General features: G+C 43.4%; 1 protein-coding gene across 7 annotated transcripts in view, besides 1 other annotated feature; it reads left to right on the forward strand.

Moving 5' to 3' along the window:
* Positions 1-22520, forward strand: part of OCLN (occludin) — a 65558-nt gene that overhangs the window by 8969 nt on the left and 34069 nt on the right. For 4 of the 7 annotated variants that reach the window (NM_001438604.1, NM_002538.4, NM_001205254.2 and 1 more), the window contains exons 2-4: positions 2662-2779; positions 7626-8304; positions 12433-12594. In NM_001438604.1, coding sequence (NP_001425533.1) covers positions 2730-2779; positions 7626-8304; positions 12433-12594 — 891 coding nt within the window. In that variant the 5' untranslated portion in view covers positions 2662-2729. The remainder of the gene's footprint in view (positions 1-2661; positions 2780-7625; positions 8305-12432; positions 12595-22520) is intronic. The other 3 variants (NM_001410743.1, NM_001438048.1, NM_001205255.2) reach the window with 2 other exon arrangements.
* Positions 15596-16477: an enhancer, noted in NCBI's record as "H3K27ac hESC enhancer chr5:68812938-68813819 (GRCh37/hg19 assembly coordinates)". NCBI's record gives its function as "activates a minimal SCP1, AML or CMV promoter by ChIP-STARR-seq in primed H9 embryonic stem cells {active_cell/tissue: H9 hESC(primed)}" and the evidence as "EXISTENCE:reporter gene assay evidence [ECO:0000049][PMID:30033119]".

Raw genomic sequence — 22520 nt, forward strand, 5'->3', positions numbered from 1 at the left:
CTACTTGTGAGGCTGAGGCAGGAGGATTGCTTGAGCCTGGGAGGCAGGTTGTAGTGAGCTGAGATGATGGCACTGCATTTCATCCTGGGCAACAGAATGAGACCTTGTCTCAAAAGAAAAAAAAAAAAAGTATAGAGAAATTGACTTGAGTGCTAGTTACAGGGCTGTGTACACTTATGATTTGTGCACTTTTCTCTATGGTATACTTTAAAAGTGGCTTTTAAAAATGTAGAAAAGTCATCTTCCTTCATGTCTTTGGAAAATTATGCTAATTGTGTTGGTGTTATTAACATTCTATATATTTCCATCTTTGAGGATTTATCTAATACATAGTTGGGCAGGGTTTAATTCTGAGAGATTTGAAATACACTGTCCTAAAGGGTATAGAAGAGAGTTGCCAGGTGGGGCGTGGTGGCTCATGCCTGTAATCCCAGCACTTTGGGAGGCCAAGGAGGGCAGATTGCCTGAGCTCAGGAGTTTGACACCAGACTGTGCAACATGGTGAAACCCCATCTTTACTAAAAATACAAACAATTAGCCGGGCGTGGCAGCGTGCGCCTGTAGTCCCAGCTACTCGGGAGGCTGAGGCAGGAGAATCGCTTGAAGCCGGGAGGCGGAGATTGCAGTGAGCTGAGATCATGCCATTGCATTCCATCCTGGTGACAGAGCGAGACTCGGCTCAAAAAAAAAAAAAAGAGTTGCCATTAATTTAAAAAAAAGTTTTAAGAGTCTGAATTGATGTACTGTTGTTAATATATTAATGTATGATTGTACAGACCGTATTAGAAAAGGAAAAAAAATCAGATACTTTAATGTACTCATTATAGATGTTACTCAAGTGTCATTCAGGGATCATACCTTTTAAAGTTACTCTGATACTTTTCCGTTACCTTCAACTTGAAAGCACAAGAGGTTTTGCAGGCAGAGATATCCATGGTCCAATCTGGTTCCTGTAAACATTCAACAAATTATCTGGACGTCTACTATGTGCCAGGCATTGATTTAATCAGTGAACAAAACATGCAAAAATTCCTGCTCACATGGAATTTACCTTCCAGTAGATCTCAAAGTTCCCTACTCTACTAATCACTGGTATAACCTGGAAAGAATTTATTGTTGGTTCAACATAGCTAAGGAGTGGCATGAAGTTCTGTAGCTGATGTGGGAAGTACCTTGCCAGTGTCTCCAGCACTGGGTTTTCTAGAATAATCCTCAAGCTTTATAGGTTAGGGGGTTGTGTGTTTACCACATCTTGCTGAGACTTGTCTTTTTCCTGGAGAGCTCTCAGTGCCCATGGATCCACCTACGGACGTAGGCAGATGACCTCCATCTTCACTTCCTCATGGATGCTAACACCAGATGTGCACTCCCCACAAAAACTGGTGTTTCCCAAATGGAACTCATTGTTTCAAACTAGCATAGTGAAAAGCACATGAAATCATCTGGGTTCAAGTTACATCTGAGTGACTCACTGACATCCATATAACCTTGAGCATATTACTTCACATCTCTTTCTGACCCTCTTTGCATCTGTAAAGTGACTAATCAACCATGGAGGGTCGTTTTGAGGATGAAAGGAGGTTTTATGTAAAGCACCCAGCACGTCGGTAGGTGTCTGATGAATGTTAGTTTCCTTCCTATCTTCTGTCTCCTAAGCTAGTCCTTCATTGTTGCCTCACACCTAGGTTTGCTGCTGCTGACTGTAGGTGCTCCTTTTTACTGTTGACTTTGTCTTTCAAATCTGGTTCAAATCAAACTTACACCTCCCTTGCCGAGAATCACGAACTGGCTCCCTGTTTCCTACCTGAAGGAAGTGAGACACTCCCACTAGACTTTCAAAGCCCTCCCTTTTCTTACTCATCCTCCATCCACTATATTCTTACTGTAACCTTATTTTAAAAGATGACACCATTCCACCATGCTCCCACTTCACTGTTCCATAAGCTAGCCACCTGTGTTATCAGCACCACACCAGCCTGGAAGAGCCAGGACCCCAGCGCTGGCTGTCATACGTCACTCCCACAGGCTCTCCTGGTCTAGTGTAGGCACTTAATAAATGCTTGTTGAGTGAAATTTCTCCTCAGATGTTTAGGAACTTGTGCTGAAGAATTTTAGGACAAAATTTCAGAAAATGACCAATTAATACCATGCATATTGTTTTTTCTCCCCTTGTATAAAAATTGTGCTCAGTTTCGAAGACTTGGAAAAGGAGATAAGGGAAAAATATCTACAATTCCACCATTTATAGATGCATTTTATTATCATTTTTAATGATAAAGGCATTTAACCCATTAGATGGTTACTTTGCATTGAGGAGCTAGTATGTGCTAGTGCGGCTATATGTGCACTTTCTTATACATTCTCATTTAATATGAACTTTCAAAAGTAATATGAAATTATATATATTTCAAATTTTTGTACAAAAAATACAGGAATTAGCCAGGCATGGTGGTGCAGGTCTGTAGTCCTAGCTACTTGGGAGGCTGAGGTAGGAGGAGTACTTGAGCCTGGTAGATCAAGGCTGCAGTGAGCTGTGATTGGACCACTGCACTCCAGCCTGGGTGACAGGGTGAGACCCTGTCTCGGGGTGGGGGTGGGATGAAGAAAAGAAAGAAACTGTGAGCTTAGTAGTAATGCCATAACTCTACTTTTGTTGCTTAGATTGGTTTATCTTGGAAGCTAAAGGGCATTGCTCATCCTGAAGATCAGCTGACCATTGACAATCAGCCATGTCATCCAGGCCTCTTGAAAGTCCACCTCCTTACAGGCCTGATGAATTGTAAGTAAATAATTCTTTAGTTATTCTCTTTTAAAAAGTCTATCACATGTAAACAATAAGTATGGTTGAAACTTTAAGTGTTTGCTTTTAAAAATAAAACGATATGTGTACTTGTAAATTTAAATTGTATCAAAGGGTCTGCACTGAAAACTGAATTTCTCTCAACTTTCAGAATGACAGTTTGTCTCTGCTAGGACAACTGCTGTCACCTATTCCTAATGTTTGTTTCAAGAGATTGCCAAGGTTTATATTTGTATGTTCCTTTTTGTTTTGTACAAATGATAATGAAGCTTCCATTTAAATGCCTCATTTAGGTGGCCATTGGGAACATATTGTCAGTTTTTAAAAATAACAGCTTTAGGCCGGGTGCGGTGGCTCACGCCTGTAATCCCAGCACCTTGGGAGGCCGAGGCTGGCGGATCACAAGGTCAAGAGATCGAGACCATCCTGGCCAACATGGTGAACTCCCGTCTCTACTAAAAATACAAAAATTAGCTGGCTGTGGTGGCGCGCACCTCTAATCCCAGCTACTTGCCTGTAATCCCAGCTACTTGGGAGGCTGAGGCAGGAGATTCACTTGAACCCAGGAGGTGGAGGTTGCAGTGAGCCGAGATCACGCCACTGCACTCCAGCCTAGAGACAGAGCGAGACTCCGTCTGAAAAAAAGAAAAAAGGCCAGGCCTGGTGGCTCATGCCTGTAATCCCAGCACTTTGGGAGGCCGAGGCGGGTGGATCACCTGAGGTCGGGAGTTTAAGACCATCCTGACCAACGTGGAGAAACCCCCATCTCTACTGAAAATACAAAATTAGCCGGGCATGGTGATGCATGCCTATAATTGCAGCTATTTGGGAGGCTGAGACAGGAGAATCGCTTGAACCCAGGAGGCGGAGGTTGAGGTGAGCTGAGATGGCGCCATTGCACTCTAGACTGGGTGACAAGAGCAAAACTCCGTCTCAAAAAATAAATAAATAAATAAAAATAACAGCTTTATTGAGATATAATTAACATACTTTACAATTTACCCATTTAGAATGGATAGTTTAATGGTTTTTAGTATATTCACAGAGTTGTAGAACCATCACCACAATTAATTTTAGAACATTTCATTACTCTCCAAAGAAACCTATCCATTGGCAGTCACCTCCCAGTTCCATCAGCCCTAAGCAACTATTGGTCTACTTTCTGTCTCTATAGATTTGTCTATTCTGCATATTTTGTATAAATGGAGAAATCACGTAATATGTGGCCTTTTGTAACTGGCTTCTTTCACTTAGCATAATACTTTCCATACTGTCAGTTTTAAGAGTGATTCCTGCCATGATCTAAAACAAGCAGTGTTGAGGGGTTTTGGGCTCCTTGGTCATGTGAAGACTTATCAGTGAATTTTTGAATTCCAAATTTGCTATCAAACATTGATAGGGATTTCCTCCTCTAAGTAGTTTGCAGCTTTAACCATGATAAGTGTAGTGGAGTGTGATATAGGCAAAAACAAACAGTTTCTCCTGCTGTTCTGTCACAACACATCTGTGACCTCTGATCACCAGAATTTGTGGGGATATTTCCCCACCAGCAACCAAGTAATCAGTTCTACAGTGGACAATAGCTGTGTGTCCTCTAATTATCAGTTCAATTCTGACACTGTCAGAGATAGCATCAGATCACAGGTTCAGGGCTCATTCCCACAAGACTGCCCCCACTTCACGTAGCAGCCACAAGCTCAGGTTGTGGCCTGTGTTTCTGACCCACCTACAGTAAATCAGGATTCCCACAGTTGTCTCCTTGGGTGCAATTAATTTGCTAAAGTGGCTTGCAGAACTCAGGGAAACAGTACTTACCATTACTGGTTTATTATAAAGGGTATTACAAAAGCCAGGTGTGGTGGTGCATGCCTGTTATCCCAGCTACTCAGAAGGCTGAGGCAGGAGGATTGCTTGAGCCCAGGAGTTTGAGGCCAGCCTGGGCAACATAGGGAAACCCTGTCTTTTAAGAATGAATGAATGAATGAACAAACAAATGATATTACAATGGATGCCAACAAACACCAGATGAAGAGGTGGACAGGGCGAGGTATGTGGGAAGCAGCCCTCCCTGGTTGTGCCACCCTCCAGGAACTTGCACATGTTCAGCTGTCCAGAAGTTCTGTGAATTCGGTCCTTTTGGGTTTTTATGGAAGCTTTATGACATAGGCATGATTGACTAAATCATTGGCCATTGGTGAGCAGTTTAAGCTTCAGCCCCTCTTTCCTGTCCAGAGAGGGTTGGGGCTGAAAAGTTCCAACCCTCTAATCCTAGCTCCCATCCTGAAGCTTCCTAGGGCTGCCAGGAACCTATCATCTCATTAGCATATAAGGGATACTTATCACTTTGGAGAGTCCAAAGATTTTAGGAGTTGTATGCCAGAAAATGGAGATGAAGACTAAATACATATTTTACAATATCACGTGAAGGTTGTGTTCCAGTTCTTTAACCTCCTTACTAGTGCCTAAAACATGGTGGGGACACAAGTTGTTTATGACAATACAGTTTTTAAAACATACTAGAGAATATAGTAATTGAGTAATGCACCACTAATCTGACACTTATTTTGTGTTGCTTTTGTAAATAATGGTGAACTGCAACATACATAAAGAAAAGGACACAGAACATATGTAGGAGATCATGAGGAAAGACCAAGCAAACATACATACTCATCACCCAGGTCAAGAAACAGAACACTTCAAAGTCCTTCCCTGTGTCCTCTCCTTTTCTCTGGAGACCACTGTCCTGACGTATGATCATTACCTGCTTTTATCATTTTATCATCTTGTATATCCTAAACATTTCAGTTTAGTTTTACCTGTTTTATTTATTTATTTTTGAGACAGACTCTCACTTTGTTGCCCAGGCTGGAGTGCAGTGGCACAATCTTGGCTCACTGCAACCTCCACTTCCTGGATTCAAGCAATTCTCCTGCCTCAGCCTCCCAAGTAGATGGGATTACAGGTAACCACCACAATGCACAACCAATTTTTATGCTTTTAGTAGAGACGGGGTTTCGCCATGTTGGCCAGGCTGGTCTCAAATTCCTGACCTCAGGTGACCCGCCCACCTCCTAAAGTGCTGGGATTATAGGTGTGAGCCACCACATCTGGCCAGTTTTACCTGTTTTAAAACTTTATGTAAATATAATAATGCGATATGTATTTTTTCATTTTTTTCAGCATTACCTGTAACTGCATGTATTCATAGTTCATCAGTTTTGGCTTCATAGCACTGTAGAAATATAACATGAGCCATATATGTAATTTTATACTTTCATTAAAAATAAAAAGATAATTTTTTTTTTTTAAGACAGAGTTTTGCTCTTTTTGCCCAGGCTGGAGTGCAATGGCACGGTCTCGGCTTACTGCAACCTCCACCTCCTGGGTTCAAGTGATTCTCCTGCCTCAGCCTCCCAAGTAGCTGGGATTACAAGCACACACCACCACGCCCAACTAGTTTTTGTATTTTCAGTAGAGATGGGGTTTCACCAGGATAGCCAGGCCGGTCTCGAACTCCTGACCTCAGGTGATCCACCCGCCTCGGCCTCCCAGAGTGCTGGGATTACAGGCGTGAGCCACCGTGCCTGGCCAAAAGAAGAAATTAATTTTAATATATTTCACTTAATCTTGTATATCTAAAACATTACTTCATCACGTGATTGATGTAAAAAATGAATGATTCAGGAAATATTTTACATTCTTTCTTCATATTATATCTTTGAAATCCATTGTGCATTTTTAAATTTTTTTGCCCTGTCACCCAGGCTGGAGTGCAGTGGGTGTGATCGCAGCTCACTGCAACCTCTGCCTCCTGGGTTCAAGGGATTCTTGATTTTCGTGCCTCAGCCTCCCAAGTAAGTGGGATTACAGGCATGTGTCACCATGCCTGGCTAATTTTTGTATTTTTAGTAGAGATAGGGTTTTACCATGTTCTCCAGGCTGGTCTCAAACTCCTGGCCTCAAGTGATCTGCCCACCTCAGACTCTCCACTGTGCATTTTAACAGCGTATCTCAGTTTGGACTAGCCACATTTCTTTTTTTTTGAGACGGAGTCTTGCTCTGTCACTCAGGGTAGAGTGCAATGGCACGATCTCGGCTCACTGCAACCTCCACCTCCCGGGTTCAAGCAATTCTCGTGCCTCAGCCTCCTGAGTAGCTGGGATTACAGGCGCATGCCACCACGTCTGGCTAATTTTTGTATTTTTAGTAGAGATGGGGTTTCACCATGTTGGCCAGGCTGGTCTTGAACCCCTGACCTCAAGTGATCCACCCGCCTTGGCCTCCCAAAGTGCTGGGATTACAGACATGAGCCACCGTGCCCAGCCGGACTAGATACATTTCAAGTGTATGATAGACCCAAGTGGCTAGTGGCTGCCACATTGGACAGTATAGCTATGGAGTATTCCATTGTATGGATATATTACAGTTACCCATTCCACTGTAGGTAATTGGTACAATCACTTTGGAAAACAGTTTGATACTGTCTAGTGAAGTTGAAGATATAAAAATATGTGATCCAGAAATTCTCCTGGTTATATACCCTAGAAAAATAAGTACTGTTCCGTACCAGAATACACATTCAAGGATGTTTATAGTTAAACTGTTTACAATACCCCCAAACAGAGATAACCCAAATGTCTGAGCAGAATGGGTTGTGGCTAGAGGCCAATAATCTTATGTTTTAACAAGCCCTCCAGGTGATTCCTGTGCACAGATAAGCTTTAGTTTCATTTACCCAATGGTTTAAATTATTCCAAATAAGTTGTGTTCTTTCTGCTTACTACCAAAAAATGCTAACTTGAAATTATTTTCATGTTCATTTCAGCAAACCGAATCATTATGCACCAAGCAATGACATATATGGTGGAGAGATGCATGTTCGACCAATGCTCTCTCAGCCAGCCTACTCTTTTTACCCAGAAGATGAAATTCTTCACTTCTACAAATGGACCTCTCCTCCAGGAGTGATTCGGATCCTGTCTATGCTCATTATTGTGATGTGCATTGCCATCTTTGCCTGTGTGGCCTCCACGCTTGCCTGGGACAGAGGCTATGGAACTTCCCTTTTAGGAGGTAGTGTAGGCTACCCTTATGGAGGAAGTGGCTTTGGTAGCTACGGAAGTGGCTATGGCTATGGCTATGGTTATGGCTATGGCTACGGAGGCTATACAGACCCAAGAGCAGCAAAGGGCTTCATGTTGGCCATGGCTGCCTTTTGTTTCATTGCCGCGTTGGTGATCTTTGTTACCAGTGTTATAAGATCTGAAATGTCCAGAACAAGAAGATACTACTTAAGTGTGATAATAGTGAGTGCTATCCTGGGCATCATGGTGTTTATTGCCACAATTGTCTATATAATGGGAGTGAACCCAACTGCTCAGTCTTCTGGATCTCTATATGGTTCACAAATATATGCCCTCTGCAACCAATTTTATACACCTGCAGCTACTGGACTCTACGTGGATCAGTATTTGTATCACTACTGTGTTGTGGATCCCCAGGAGGTATGAGTGGTGTTTTGGGTTTTTTCTCCATCTCCTTAGCAGAGGCCTTCAACTTGAGATATGTGATAGAATCACTCTGGAAACTCTTAAAAAATATTGATGACAAGGCTCCACTTCTAATTAAATCTGGGGGAGGGGCTGAGTCTCATTAAGATATGATTAACATACCATGTAATTTGATTACTTAAATAACAGTTCAGTGGTTTTTAATATATTCACAGAATTGTGCCACCATCACCACAATCAATTTTAGAACATTTTCACTATCCTAAAAAGAAACTTGTACCCGTTAGCGGTCACTCCTCATTTCCCTAACCATTCTTAGCCCTAGGCAACCACTAATCCTACATCTATAAATTTGTCTATTCTCTAGGTATTTCATATAAATGGAATCACACAATGTGGTCTTTGTGATGGGCTTCTTTTACGTAGCATAATGTTTTTAAGGTTTACCCATGTCATAGCTTGTGCCATTCTCTCATTCCTTTTTATTGCTAATATTCCAGTGTGTGGATAAACCACATTTTATTTATCAGTTGATAGACATTTGTGTCTACATTGGCTATTAAGAATCATGCTAGACTGGGCACGGTGGCTCATGCTTGTAATCCCAGCACTTTGGGAGGCTGAGGCGGGCGGATCATGAGGTCAGGAGATTGTGACCATCCTCGCTAATAAGGTGAAACCCCGTCTCTACTAAAAATACAAAAAAAATTAGCTGGGCATGGTGGCAGGCACCTGTAGTCCCAGCTACTCGGGAGGCTCAGGCAGAAGAAATGGCGTGAACCCGGGAGGCGGAGCTTGCAGTGAGCTGAGATTGCGCCACTGCACTCCAGCCTGAGCGACAGAGCAAGACTCCATCTCAAAAAAAAAGAATCATGCTATAGACATTCTTGTATACGTTTTTGTGTGAACCTATGTTTTAATGATTTCTTGAGTTGGGTTATACCTAGGGGTGGAATTGCTGGGTCATATGGTGACTCTTTAATCTTTTGGGGAGCTACCAGAGTTTTTCCAAAGAGTTTGCATCATTTTACATTCACATCAGAAATGTATGAAAGTTCCAATTTCTCCACATCCTCACCAACACTTGTTATTGTCTGATTCTAGCCATGCTGATGGGTGAGAAGTGAAGTGGTGCTTTATTGTGATTTTGATTCGTATTTTCTTTATAGCTAATGTTATTAGCTATATAGTCATGTACTTATTGGCCATTTCTCTCTTATCTTTGGAGAAATGGCTGTTTAGACTTGTCCATTTTTTTTTTCTTTTTGAGACGGAGTCTTGCTCTATCGCCCAGGCTGGAGTGCAGTGGTGTGATCTTTGCTCACTGTGAGCTACGCCTCCTGGGTTCACACCATTCTCCTGCCTCAGCCTCCTGAATAGCTGGGACTACAGGCACCGGCCACCACGCCCAGCTAATTTTTTTTTTTTTTTGTATTTTTAGTAGAGATGGGGTTTCACCGTGTTAGCCACGATGGTCTCTATCTTCTGACCTCGTGATCCGCCCGCCTCGGCCTCCAAAGTGCTGGGATTACAGGTGTGAGCCACTGTGCCCGGCCTAGACTTGCCCATGTTTTAATTGGGCTATTTTTGTTGTTGTTTTGTTTTTGAGACAGAGTCTCACTGTCACCCAGGCTGGGGTGCAGTGGTGCAGTCACAGCTCACTGCATCCTTGACCTCCTGGGCTCAAGTGACCCTCCTACCTCAGTCTCCTGAGTAGCTAGGACCACAGGGGCATGCCACCACACCCGGATAATTTTTTAAAAAATTTTTTGTAGAGACAGGGTCTCACTTTGTTGCCCGGTCTGGGCTGGAACTCCTGGGCTCAAGTGATCCTGCCTTGGCCTTCCAAACCGCTGGGATTATAGGCATCTTTTCACTTTCTTGATGGTGTCCTTTGCATAAAAGCTTTTAGTTTTGGGCCGGGCATGGTAGCTCACGCCTGTAATCCCAGCACTTTGGAAGGCCAAGGTGGGCGGATCACCTGAGGTCAGGAGTTCGAGACCAGCCTGGCCAACATGGTGAAACTCCATCTCTACTAAAAATAGAAAAATTACCTGGACACGGTGGCGTGCCTGTAATCCCAGCTACTCAGTAGGCTGAGGCAGGAGAATCACTTGAACCCAGGAGGTGGAGGTTGCAGTGAGCTGAAATTGTGCCACTGCACTCCAGCCTAGACAACAAGAGCAAAACTCTGTCTCAAAAAAAAAAAAAAAAAAAAAATTTTTAGTTTTGATGATGTCCAGTTTATTTAATTTTTCTTCTGTTGCTTGTATTTTTGGTGTCATATCTAATGCTTTGCCTAATTCAGGGTCACAAGGATTTACTCCTATGTTTTCTATTATTTAATTTTTCTATAGTTTCATAATTTTAGCTTTTACAGTTAGGTCTGTGATTCATGTTGTGTTAATTTTGGGCATGATGGAAGCAAGGGTTCTGAAAGCTTTCGCATGTTTATATGCAGTTGTCTCAGTGTTACTTGTTGAAAGGACTGTTCCTCCACTAAGTTTTCTTCATGCCTTTGTCAAAAATGAATTGATCATAAATGTGGACATTTATTTCTGGGCTCTCAGTTCAGCTGCATTAATCATATGTCCTAATGCCAGTACCATACTGTCTTGATTACTGTAACTTTATAGTAAGTTTTGAAATTGTGGAGTGGGAGTTCTCCAACTTTGTTCTTCAAGACTGTTTTGGCTAGATTCTGGATTCCTTGCATTTCCATATGGATTTTAAGATCAGCATGTCAATTTTGGAAAAAAATGCCAGCTAGGATTTTGAAGGGTTATATTGAATCTGTAGGTCAATTTTGGATGTATTGTCATCTTTACAATTACAAGTCTTCTGATTCATGAACGTAAGATTCTTTTGATTTATGTAGGTCTTGTTAAACTTCTTTTAATAGTGTTTTATAGTTTTCAGAGTGTAAGTTAGTATGTTTAAAAGCTAAGCAAGTGATTCAAATGTGCAGGTTGGAGTTGAGAAACCTACTTTAGTAACCATGAGTCATACTGATTATATTAATATCTGAAATGTTTCTGAGTTACTGATCTTTTTTCCCTTGTTTTTCCTTTTTTCTTACACTAACTCAGGAGTTCCCATTCCTGAATGAGTCACTCCTTTGGAGTTAGACCTCTAGTATCTGTCTACCATTATTTAGAAGACTGAAGGTTTTCCCTGCAGACGTAGGTTTTCACAGTGCTCGTTGTTGCCATTTAGACATGTCCATGGTAGATAGGGACTGAGGGTTGGTACTCCTATCCTACCACACCCCTATCCCTCTTAGTTCTCTTACTACTTACTCTTTGAAAAATGATGTCACTGTCAAGACAGCTGGAAGGAGAGCCTCTTGTTCCCATTAGCAGACATCCAGGGTAGAGGCCTGATATTTCCCTCAACTTCAAGTGCCTCCCAGGCCAATATACCATTTAATATCCTATCACCACTGGGAGAACTGTTAAGAGTAGGAAGTTTCTTTGTTACAGGGCCCTTTCTAGTAGTATGCAAGACTCCTGAAACAGAGAAACCTGCCAGACCAAATCAATCATTAGTCAATTTGCTATTTATAGCTTGATTAGATCCATGTCTTCATCATTTTTGGTAAGATAGAGATCTATGGACAGAAATTTACATTCAGTGTAAAAAGGCTTGCCAAGCATATGTTTTGAACAAGATTACAAGCATGATTGGCTATTTCAAAGCTGTGAATACTTTTGAGAGTAGCATTTTTCAGGCCCTTTAGAAGTATACCAATGATTGAGTTACTTTACTGGCCATTCTCGTAGGTGCACAAAGCTTGGCCCGTAGGTGTACAAGCTTTGGAACTAGTTTTTTACAGCTCTGAAATGAGGGTGATGATTGATAGTTCCTAACATTAGGCATTTTCTGAGGATTGAGTCAAGCAGTATGTACGTGTGTGTACATTTGCTGGCCTTAGCCCAGTTAGTGTGGGTTAGGTTTTATGATATGTCTGAAATGTAACTATTTGCTTCAGTTTTCTATCAATTAAACCACATGGATTTAGTAGGGCCTTAGGGTAGATAAGGGTTTTAATAATATGTAGAGGGTGAATTGTGATTAAGCAATTAAAATCTAATTATGCCAATATTTTCCACTCCTTTTTAGGCCATTGCCATTGTACTGGGGTTCATGATTATTGTGGCTTTTGCTTTAATAATTTTCTTTGCTGTGAAAACTCGAAGAAAGATGGACAGGTATGACAAGTCCAATATTTTGTGGGACAAGGAACACATTTATGATGAGCAGCCCCCCAATGTCGAGGAGTGGGTAAGTGTTAAAAAATAACTTTACATCTTTTATTAAAGCCCCAAATTTGTGTCTGAATTTTTAGTGCTTTGTTAAACTTTATTCTTAGAATTAATGTTTGTATATGTTGCAAAGGTTGTTGCATTGGTTTTTACTCAGAATTTTAAGAGGATGGGCTAAGTGGAAATGGTTTTACTAAAAGGTGAAAATCAGATTTCCATTTTCAAGGAGTGAATCTTGGTTTTGAAAAGAAATGGCTTCTAAAAAAATCATGCAGAAAGAACTTGGCCTTTGCAAAACAAAAACTACTTCTTCCCTCTACTCCCTTTTATTTTTCTGCTTATCATTTTGGAGATAAACAGAAACCATTGCCAAAGGTGCTCTCGTGGGTCAAGATTGGCAAGAGTGTTTTTGGAATAGCAGGTGGCAGGCCTTTTAAACTTTTTTTTTTTTTTATTGATCATTCTTGGGTGTTTCTCACAGAGGGGGATTTGGCAGGGTCATAGGACAATAGTGGAGGGAGGGTCAGCAGATAAACAAGTGAACAAAGGTCTCTGGTTTTCCTATGCAGAGGACCCTGCGGCCTTCTGCAGTGTTTGTGTCCCTGGGTACTTGAGATTAGGGAGTGGTGATGACTCTTAACGAGCATACTGCCTTCAAGCATCTGTTTAACAAAGCACATCTTGCACCACTCTTAATCCATTTAACCCTGAGTGGACACAGCACATGTTTCAGAGAGCACAGGGTTGGGGGTAGGGTCACCGATCAACAGGATCACAAGGCAGAAGAATTTTTCTTAGTACAGAACAAAATGAAAAGTCTCCCGTGTCTACCACTTTCTACACAGACATGGCAACCATCCGATTTCTCAATCCTTTCCCCGCCTTTCCCCCCTTTCTATTCCACAAAACCGCCATTGTCATCATGGCCCTTTCTCAATGAGCTGTTGGGTACACCTCCCAGACGGGGTGGTGGCTGGGCAGAGGGGCTCCTCACTTCCCAGTAGGGGCGGCCGGGCAGAGGCGCCCCTCACCTCCTGGACCGGGCGGCTGGCCGGGCGGGGGGCTGACCCCCCCACCTCCCTCCCGGACGGGGCGGCTGGCCGGGCAGAGGGGCTCCTCACTTCCCAGTAGGGGCGGCCGGGCAGAGGCGCCCCTAACCTCCCGGATGGGGCGGCTGGCCGGGCGGGGGGCTGACCCCCCCACCTCCTTCCCGGATGGGGCGGCTGGCCGGGCAGAGGGGCTCCTCACTTCCCAGTAGGGGCGGCCGGGCAGAGGGGCCCCTCACCTCCCAGACAGGGCGGCTGGCCGGGCAGGGGGCTGACCCCCCTACCTCCCTCCCAGACGGGGCGGCTGGCCGGGCAGAGGGGCTCCTCACTTCCCAGTAGGGGCGGCCGGGCAGAGGCGCCCCTCACCTCCCGGACGGGGCGGCTGGCCGGGCGGGGGGCTGACCCCCCCCCACCTCCCTCCCGGACGGGGCGGCTGGCCGGGCGGGGGGCTGACCCCCCCACCTCCCTCCCGGACGGGGCGGCTGGCCGGGCGGGGGGCTGACCCCCCCACCTCCCTCCCGGATGGGGTAGCTGCCGGGCAGAGACGCTCCTCACTTCCCAGACAGAGTGGCTGCCGGGCGGAGGGGCTCCTCACTTCTCATATGGGGCGGTTGCCAGGCGGAGGGTCTCCTCACTTCTCAGACGGGGCGGCTGGGCAGAGACGCTCCTCACCTCCCAGACGGGGTCGCGGCTGGGTAGAGGCGCTCCTCACATCCCAGACGGGGTGGCGGGGCAGAGGCGCTCCCCACATCTTAGACGATGGGCGGCCGGGCAGAGACGCTCCTCACTTCCTAGATGGCATGGGGGCCGGGAAGAGGCGCTCCTCACTTCCTAGATGGGATGGCGGCCGGGCAGAGACGCTCCTCACTTTCCAGACTGGGTAGCCAGGCAGAGGGGCTCCTCACGTCCCAGACGATGGGCGGCCAGGCAGAGACGCTCCTCACTTCCCAGACGGGGTGGCGGCCGGGCAGAGGCTGCAATCTTGGCACTTTGGGAGGCCAAGGCAGGCGGCTGGGAGGTGGAGGTTGTAGCGAGCCGAGATCACGCCACTGCACTCCAGCCTGGGCACCATTGAGCACTGAGTGAACCAGACTCCGTCTGCAATCCCGGCACCTTGGGAGGCCGAGGCTGGCGGATCAGTCGCAGTTCGGAGCTGGAGACCAGCCCGGCCAACACAGCGAAACCCCGTCTCCACCAAAAAAATAAGAAAACCAGTCAGGCGTGGTGGCGCGCGCCTGCAATCGCAGGCACTCGGCAGGCTGAGGCAGGAGAATCAGGCAGGGAGGCTGCAGTGAGCCGAGATGGCAGCAGTACAGTCCAGCTTCGGCTCGGCATCAGTGGGAGACCGTGGAAAGAGAGGGAGAGGGAGACCGTGGGGAGAGGGAGAGGGGGGAGAGGGAGAGGGCAAAACTTTTGACATAGATAACAGCATGACAAACCACAGTGACTAATTCTGAGTTAACATTATGAAATACTTCAGTGAGGCAAAGACAGATTAGAAAAATTTCCTTTTAAAAATATATACTATTAATCTTACCAAGCTTCCTATATGATGTGATTTGCTGAAAGCCTGGAAAGTTCCTCTTTAAAGATGCCTCCCAAATGAGTGTTAGTAAACTGTTTTTAGAGCTTTTTAGAGGCCAGGTGTGGTGGCTCACACTTGGAATCCCAGCACTTAGGGAGGCCAAGGTGGAAGGATCACTTGAGTCCAGGAGTTTGAGAACAACCTAGGCAACATAATGGGACCCTGTCTCTACAAAAAATAAAAAAAAAATTAGCTGGGCATGATGATGTATGCCTGTAGTCCCAGCTACTCAGGAGGCTGAGGTGATAGAATCACTGGAGCATGGGAGGTTGAAGCTGCAGTGAGCTGTTATTCTGCCACTGGCACTCTTGCCTGGATGGCAGAGTGAGACCCTGTCTCGGAAAAAAATAAAAATGAAAAGATGTTTGGAGTGAAACTTTTTCTAAGAAATCCTGTTAGGGTCCTGTTAGAAGCTACCTCAGAAACTGACATCACAGGGTTCTTTGAGCAGATTGATTTATTGTCATGAAGGTATGGCCACAGGTTCCCAGGAAGGTTTATTTTGGCCACTGGGAGTGGGGTGGCTAAAGATGGATGCTGGCTGCTGCTAGTCAGGTCTGGGGTAAAGACATTAATATATATATATATATATATTTTTTTTTTTTTTGAGACGGCTTCTGGCTCTGTCGTTCAGGCTGGAGTACAGTGGTGCAATATTGGCTCACTGCAACCTCCGCCTCCCGGGTTCAAGAGATTCTCCTGCCTTGGCCTCCCGAGTAGCTAGGACTATAGGTGCATACCACCATGCCTGACTAATTTTTTTGTATTTTTAGGAGAGATGGGGTTTCACCACGTTGGCCAGGCTGGTCTCGAACTCCTGACCTCAAGTGATCTGCCTGCCTTGGCCTCCCAAAGTGCTGGGATTATAGGCAAGACAATATCTTGAAGGCTTAGCTCTAACATTCTGTAAGTCTGATTTTTAAGGAAATCTAGGAAGATAGATGAAATTTTTTTCTGGTTAATTAAGGAGCAAAAATGAAGCAGTCTTAGGAAAGCCAGGAAGGCTGTGGTATGTATTCACCACTGAGACGATAGTTCTTATGTCCCTGCCCTTGACTTGAAGCCCTGTTTTTTTTTTCCCTCACTTTAAAGTGTGAAGGTGTTAGGAAGTGTTTTCTTTCGACATTTACCTCCAGGCAAGGCCACTTGTAGCTGGAATAGGACAGGTCTATATTATGAGCTATGAAGTAAATGTTTCGCTGAGAGTTTCTGGGTGTGTTAGTTTTCGTTGGCAGTTAGATTTGTTTACTTAAGGTTTCAAGAGGCTTAAAAACAACAAACCCGACTCAAGGGAGACCAATGCCAGTAATATTAGAGTCCCAGTGAACTTTGGCCTCTCATCTGATTTTACTGTCATGAAGGTTTAATCAGTTCTAGTTGCTTTTGATAATTTGGCAAAAGATAGCTGTTGTAACTTATGGAGGTGATGATGATTAAGGTGAAAGAACTACTTAGCTTTTAAGAAGGTATTATTTTAATAAAATTCCTCCTTGAACCTCTGGAAATTTGATAGCCTGTGGGTTGTTGCATGTGGACTTCATTGTTTCTCTCTAGTAACAAGTATTTTCATTGTATGTAAAAGAATTGTCTGTTGAATAGCAGATATATGATTTTGCCCAAACTAATGTTTTATGTGATTCTTAACCAGAGGCAAATTCCTCATTTCTTTTCCTCTGCCCTTCAGTTTTTTGAACTGAAATGCCTCAGAAAGCCTATTTAAAATAAATTATTTGGAGGTGGTTTAACCACAGATATTTTGCCTTTCTTTCTATTCTCCCCTCACCTGCCCAAGTTCATGTCGCGGAATTCAATACCACGTTCTCATTATTTCCTTAATTGATGGAACAGGCAGATGTAGCCTGTTACTCTCATTTCTGCCTGATTAGTTTCACCCTGATAATGTGGCCATCGCTGTGGAATTGTGTCATCCTGCATCTAAACTGTTCACAGTGGAGTAGATTAGGGAGTTTTCTTCCTTTTGGTCATGAGAAATTAATATCAAAACAATCTCTACTTAAAATAGTGGATGAGAATCTAGAATTAACTACTTGCACTAAAGGAGAATTAAAATTTGGGTTTGATTGATTGCAAAGAGCTGAGACAGGTTACTCCCCATATAGCTAATAATGGCTGATTCGGGGGGAAAAGAAAAACTCATGTCTGTAATCCCAGTACTTGCGAGGCCAAGGAGGATCACTTGAGCCCAGGAGTTTAAGACCATCTGGGGCAAGAAGGCAAGACCCTATCTCTACAAAAAATTTAAAAAATTAGCCGGACGTGGGCACAGGTGCCTGTAGTCCCAGCTGCTTGGGAAGCTGAAGTGGGAGGATTGCTGGAGCCTGGGAGGTCAAGGCTGCAGTGAGGCATGATCTCGCCACTGCACTCCAGCCTGGGTGACAGAGTGAGACCCTGTCTCAAAAAAGCAAAACAAAAAAGTACTACAGTAACAATTAGCTACTCAATATTAGTTTAATCCCTCCCTACAGATTGGGGTCGGTCTAGAATTTTATTATGTTACTAAATCTTACTGACTTCCTTCTTGGATTTTTAGCATCTTCAGGATTATAACACGCCTCCTGCCCTCCCACCTCTCAGAGCAGAGGGTAGTCAAAAGCTGTGCCTTCAGTGTTTAAAACAAGTTTTATCCCTTTTGTATAATCTGTGAGAAAATTTAGAGTTTTATAATTCCCTGTCCCTGTTGGCTCAACACAGTGGTTTCTCTGCCCTTCTTAGGGCTTTTTTTCCCCCTTCCTTTTTCTGGATATCTTGTTCCTTGTAAAATAAACAGCTCATGTTTGCACGCTGCTTGGTTTTTAACCTGGTCTTTTATAGTCACTCAGATGGATACCAGTTTGTATTTTAAATGTTTTAAGATTTGTTTAATTAAACTTTGCAGGTCTTTGTTTTGTTCTGCCCTCAAATTTCAGATCTGATTTTTTTAATTAAATATTTTATTTGGTTAAGTATGGATGATTTGGAAAATACAGTGAAGTGCAGTCATTCCTTGGTATACTCAGGTGGTTGGTTCCGGGACCCCCATGTATACCCAAATCCATGCATATTCAAGTCCTGTAGTCGGTGGAACCCATGTGTATGAAAAATTGGCCCTCTGGATACCTGGGTTTTGCATTCCGCCAATACTGTTTTCCATCTATGTTTAGTTGAAAAAAATCCACGTATATGTGGACCCATGCAGTTCAAACCTGGTTGTTCAAGGGCCAACTGTATAAAGTAATTTTTGTTTGTTTGTTTGTTTTTGAGACAGTCTCGCTCTGTTGCCAGGCTGGAGTGCGATGGCACGATCTCAGCTCATTGCAGCCTCCCGCTTCCAGGTTCAAGTGATTCTCCTGCCTCAGCCTTCCGAGTATCTGGGATTACAGGTGCCTGCCACCATGTGCAGCTACTTTTTGTATGTTTAGTAGAGATGGGGTTTTGTCATGTTGGCCAGGCTGGTCTCAAACTTCTGACCTCAGGTGATCTGCCTGCCTCGGCCTCCCAAAGTGCTAGGATTATAGGCGTCAGCCACCATGCCTGGCCTGTATAAAGAAAATTATGTCAACTTAAGTTACCACTATGGGGTACTTTTTTTTTTTTTTTGAGATGGAGTCTTGCTCTGTTGCCCAGGCTGGAGCGCAGTGGCACTATCTCGGCTCACTGCAACCTCTGTCTCCTGGGTTCAAGCGATTCTCCTGCCTCAGCCTCCCAAGTAGCTGGGATTACAGGCGCCTGCCACTGTGCCCGGCTAATTTTTGTATTTTTAGTAGAGACGGGGTTTCACCATCTTGGCCAGGCTGGCCTCAAACTTCTGACTACGTGATCCTCTGCCTCCCAAAGTGCTGGGATTACAGGCGTGAGCCACCATGCCTGGCCTGGGGTACTTTCTTTAATCATCTTTTTCCTTTCCTATTTCTTATTCTAAATTGGAAGTATGCTCATACTCCCTTAAATTTTTTTTTTTACTTTTGTTATTATTTATTTAGAGACAGGGTGTAGCTCTGTCACCCGTGTTGGAGTGCAGTGGTACAGTCATAGCTCACTGCAGCCTCAAACTTGTTAATATTTGTAAAATACTTAGTATAATACCTTGCACATGGTAAATAATGTAATGTTGTTACTTTTAATAATTTGGTGGGATTTTTGTTTTGAGATGGAGTCTCGCTCTGTCACCCAGGCTGGAGTGCAATGGCGCAATCTCAGCTCACTACAATCTCCACTTCCTGGATTCAAGTGATTCTCCTGCCTCAGCCTCCTGAGTAGCTGGGATTACAGGCACATGCCACCACGTCTAGCTAATTTTTGTACTTTTAGTAGAGATGGGGTTTCACCACGTTGGTCGAACTCCTGACCTCAGGCGATCCACCCGCGTCGGCCTCCCAAAGTGCTGGGATTACAGGCATGAGCCACCGTGCCTAGCCAATTTATTTTAAACCCAAAAATTGGTGTTATTTTAAAACCAAAAATAGGATCATAATGTACACGTTGTATGCAGTTTGCTTTTTTAAAAACTTTGTTTTGTGAACATCTTTCCAAGTCTGTCAGCACATAGACCTAATTGCTCTTGGCAGCTGGGTGGTATTTCATAGTATGAGTATACGATGATTCATTCTCCTATTTATGGACATTTTAATTGTGTTCAGTTGTTTACTATTACAGATAACGCTGCAGTGAACATTCTCTCACATGTCTTTATGCACTCTTGCTAGTGTTTGTGTAAGATAAATTTCTAGAACTAGTCATTGAGTGTGCACACTTAAAATTTTACTAGGTTAGCTGGGCATGGTAGCTCGACTCTAGTCCCAGCTACTCGGGAGGATGAGACAGAAGGATCTCTTGAGCTCAAGAGTTGAGGCTGCAGTGAGCTATGGTTGTGTCACTGTACTCCAGCTTAGGCAATAGAGCAAGACCCCTATCTCTTGAAAAAAAGCATTTTACAAGGGATTACCAAGTTGCATTGTTTTTGAAAGCTCTGCAGATTCTACTAACCCTGATGGTATATGAAATTGCTCAGTTCCCAACATTTTTTTCTGTTCTGGTTATTATCTGTCATTAATTTTTGTTAATCCAGTAAGTAAAAATAAAGTTTCATTTTCAAAATTTGGTGATTAAGCATATGCTTATTTCCTATTCTTCATCACTTGACATCTTCATAGCATGGCTTAGTTTTCCGTGATTGTTCGTTCTTTCCTGACTAGAGTTTTTTATATTATGGATATTAATATTTTGTCTTATTGATGATAACTTCTCCCACATTATTGTGGTCTTTCATCTTTGTCTACAGTGTTTTTTTGTTTGTTTTAAGAGAGAGGGTCTCACTATGTTACCCAGGCTCGTTTTGAACTCCTGGCCTCAAGTGATCCTTGTGCCTTGGCCTCCCAAAGTGTTGGGATTGTAGGCATTTGCCACCATGCCCAGACTTCTTATTTTTTTATGTACTTATATTTCCTGTCTCTTTATGGCCTCTACATATCTTTGTTCCTAGAGAGTTTTACACCCCCTTCAAGGTTTAAATAATACCCTCCTGTAGTTTCGTTGGTATTTTAAAGTTTTATTTTTTTTACCCCATGTGTACTAAATGTGTGCAGAGGGTTGAGTTAAACATATGTCAGTCCTTGGTACATTTTAACATCCTTGATTGGTGTAATGTTCCTCTCTCATATTTCTTGTTTTTATTTTCGCCCAACCTAGACCTTTAAGATCACCAGAAGCTTTAGACCACCAGAAACATATTTTTTTAAACAGCTTTATTGAGGTACAATTTATATACCATACATTGTCATCACCCATTAAAAATTTACAGTGATTTTTAGCAAACTTAGAAGTGTCGTGCACCCAATCCAGTTTTTGTGTTTTTGTTTTTGTTTTTAACATCCAGGATATACACTGGACCACCCCCCTTGTTTTTTAAGATAAATGTTTCATTTTAGAATAGTTTTATTAATAGATTTACAGAAAAGTTGCAATTATAGTATGATGGATTTCTGTATACCACGGCACTCAGTTTTCCCTTTTATTTTTTTTTTTCTTGAGGCAAGGTCTCACTCTGTTGCCCAGGCTGGAGTGCAATGGCGCAATCATAGCTTACTACAGCCTTGACTGCTGGGCTCAAGCAGTCCTCCCACCTCAGCCTCCCAAGTAGCTGGGACTACAGACATGTGCCGCTATGCCTGGCTGACTTTTTTTTTTTTAAAGTAGAGACAGAGTTCGCTATGTCGCCCAGGCTATTCTTGAACTCCTGAACTCATGCAGTTCTCCTGCCTTGGCCTCCCAAACTGCTGGGATTACAGGTGTGAGCCACTACCCACAGTGCAGCTAGTTGTCCCTATTGTTAACATCCTACATTAGTGTGGTGCATTTGTCACCACTAATGGACCAATATTGATATTTACTATTTACCAAATGTCATAACTTTATTCATATTGAGATGCTTGTTTTTTATTATAGTATGAGATAAACACTAACTTAATTTTGTTCCCAAATGGTCAACTTGAATAATACTGAAATTGTGTTTTCTGAAATTTTACAATTTTTGGTGAAAGTTGAGTCTTTTGATTATTCTTCCTTTTTTGAACACATTTTGGCCAGCATAATTGTGTAAAAGGGGGCTATTAAGCCATTTTCTAACAGTATATGATAATATTTTTAGAGAATAGACAAAATTGATGTTTACGTTAAATTTGGTTTTATATTAACAGAAAGCATTTTCATCCACATGCCTGGGGTCACATATGGGTGACAAAGCCAGGATTAGAACCCTAACTGAGCATTTCCATGCCAGTAGATTCTTAGGAAAAACCTTAATGATTACCTTTTTTTTTTTTTTTAATTATTTTTTGAGATGAAGTCTTGCTCTGTCACACAGGCTAGAGTGCAGTGGCATGATCTCGGCTCACTGCAACCTCCACCTCCCGGGTTCAAGCGATTCTCCTGCCTCAGCCTCCTAAGTAGCTGGGATTACAGGCATGTGTCACCACACCCAGCTAATTTTTGTATTTTTAGTAGACATGGGGTTTTGCCACGTTGGCCAGGCTGGTCTCAAACTCCTGACCTCAGGTGATCCACCCGCCTCAGCCTCCCAAAGTGCTGGGGTTACAGGTGTAAGCCACCGTGCCCGGCCAATGATTACCTTTTTAAAAACTGGACTTTAAGGCTGAGCACAGTGGCTGACACTTGTAATCCCAGCACTTTGGGAGACCAAGGTGCGTAGATCAGTTGAGGTCAGGAGTTTGAGACCATCCTGGCCAACATGGTGAAACCCTGTCTCTACTGAAAATACAAAAATTAGCTGGGCCTGGTGGCGCATGCCTGTAGTCCCAG

The sequence above is a fragment of the Homo sapiens genome, chromosome 5 (assembly GCF_000001405.40).
Source record: "Homo sapiens chromosome 5, GRCh38.p14 Primary Assembly".
Lineage (NCBI taxonomy): Eukaryota > Metazoa > Chordata > Mammalia > Primates > Hominidae > Homo > Homo sapiens.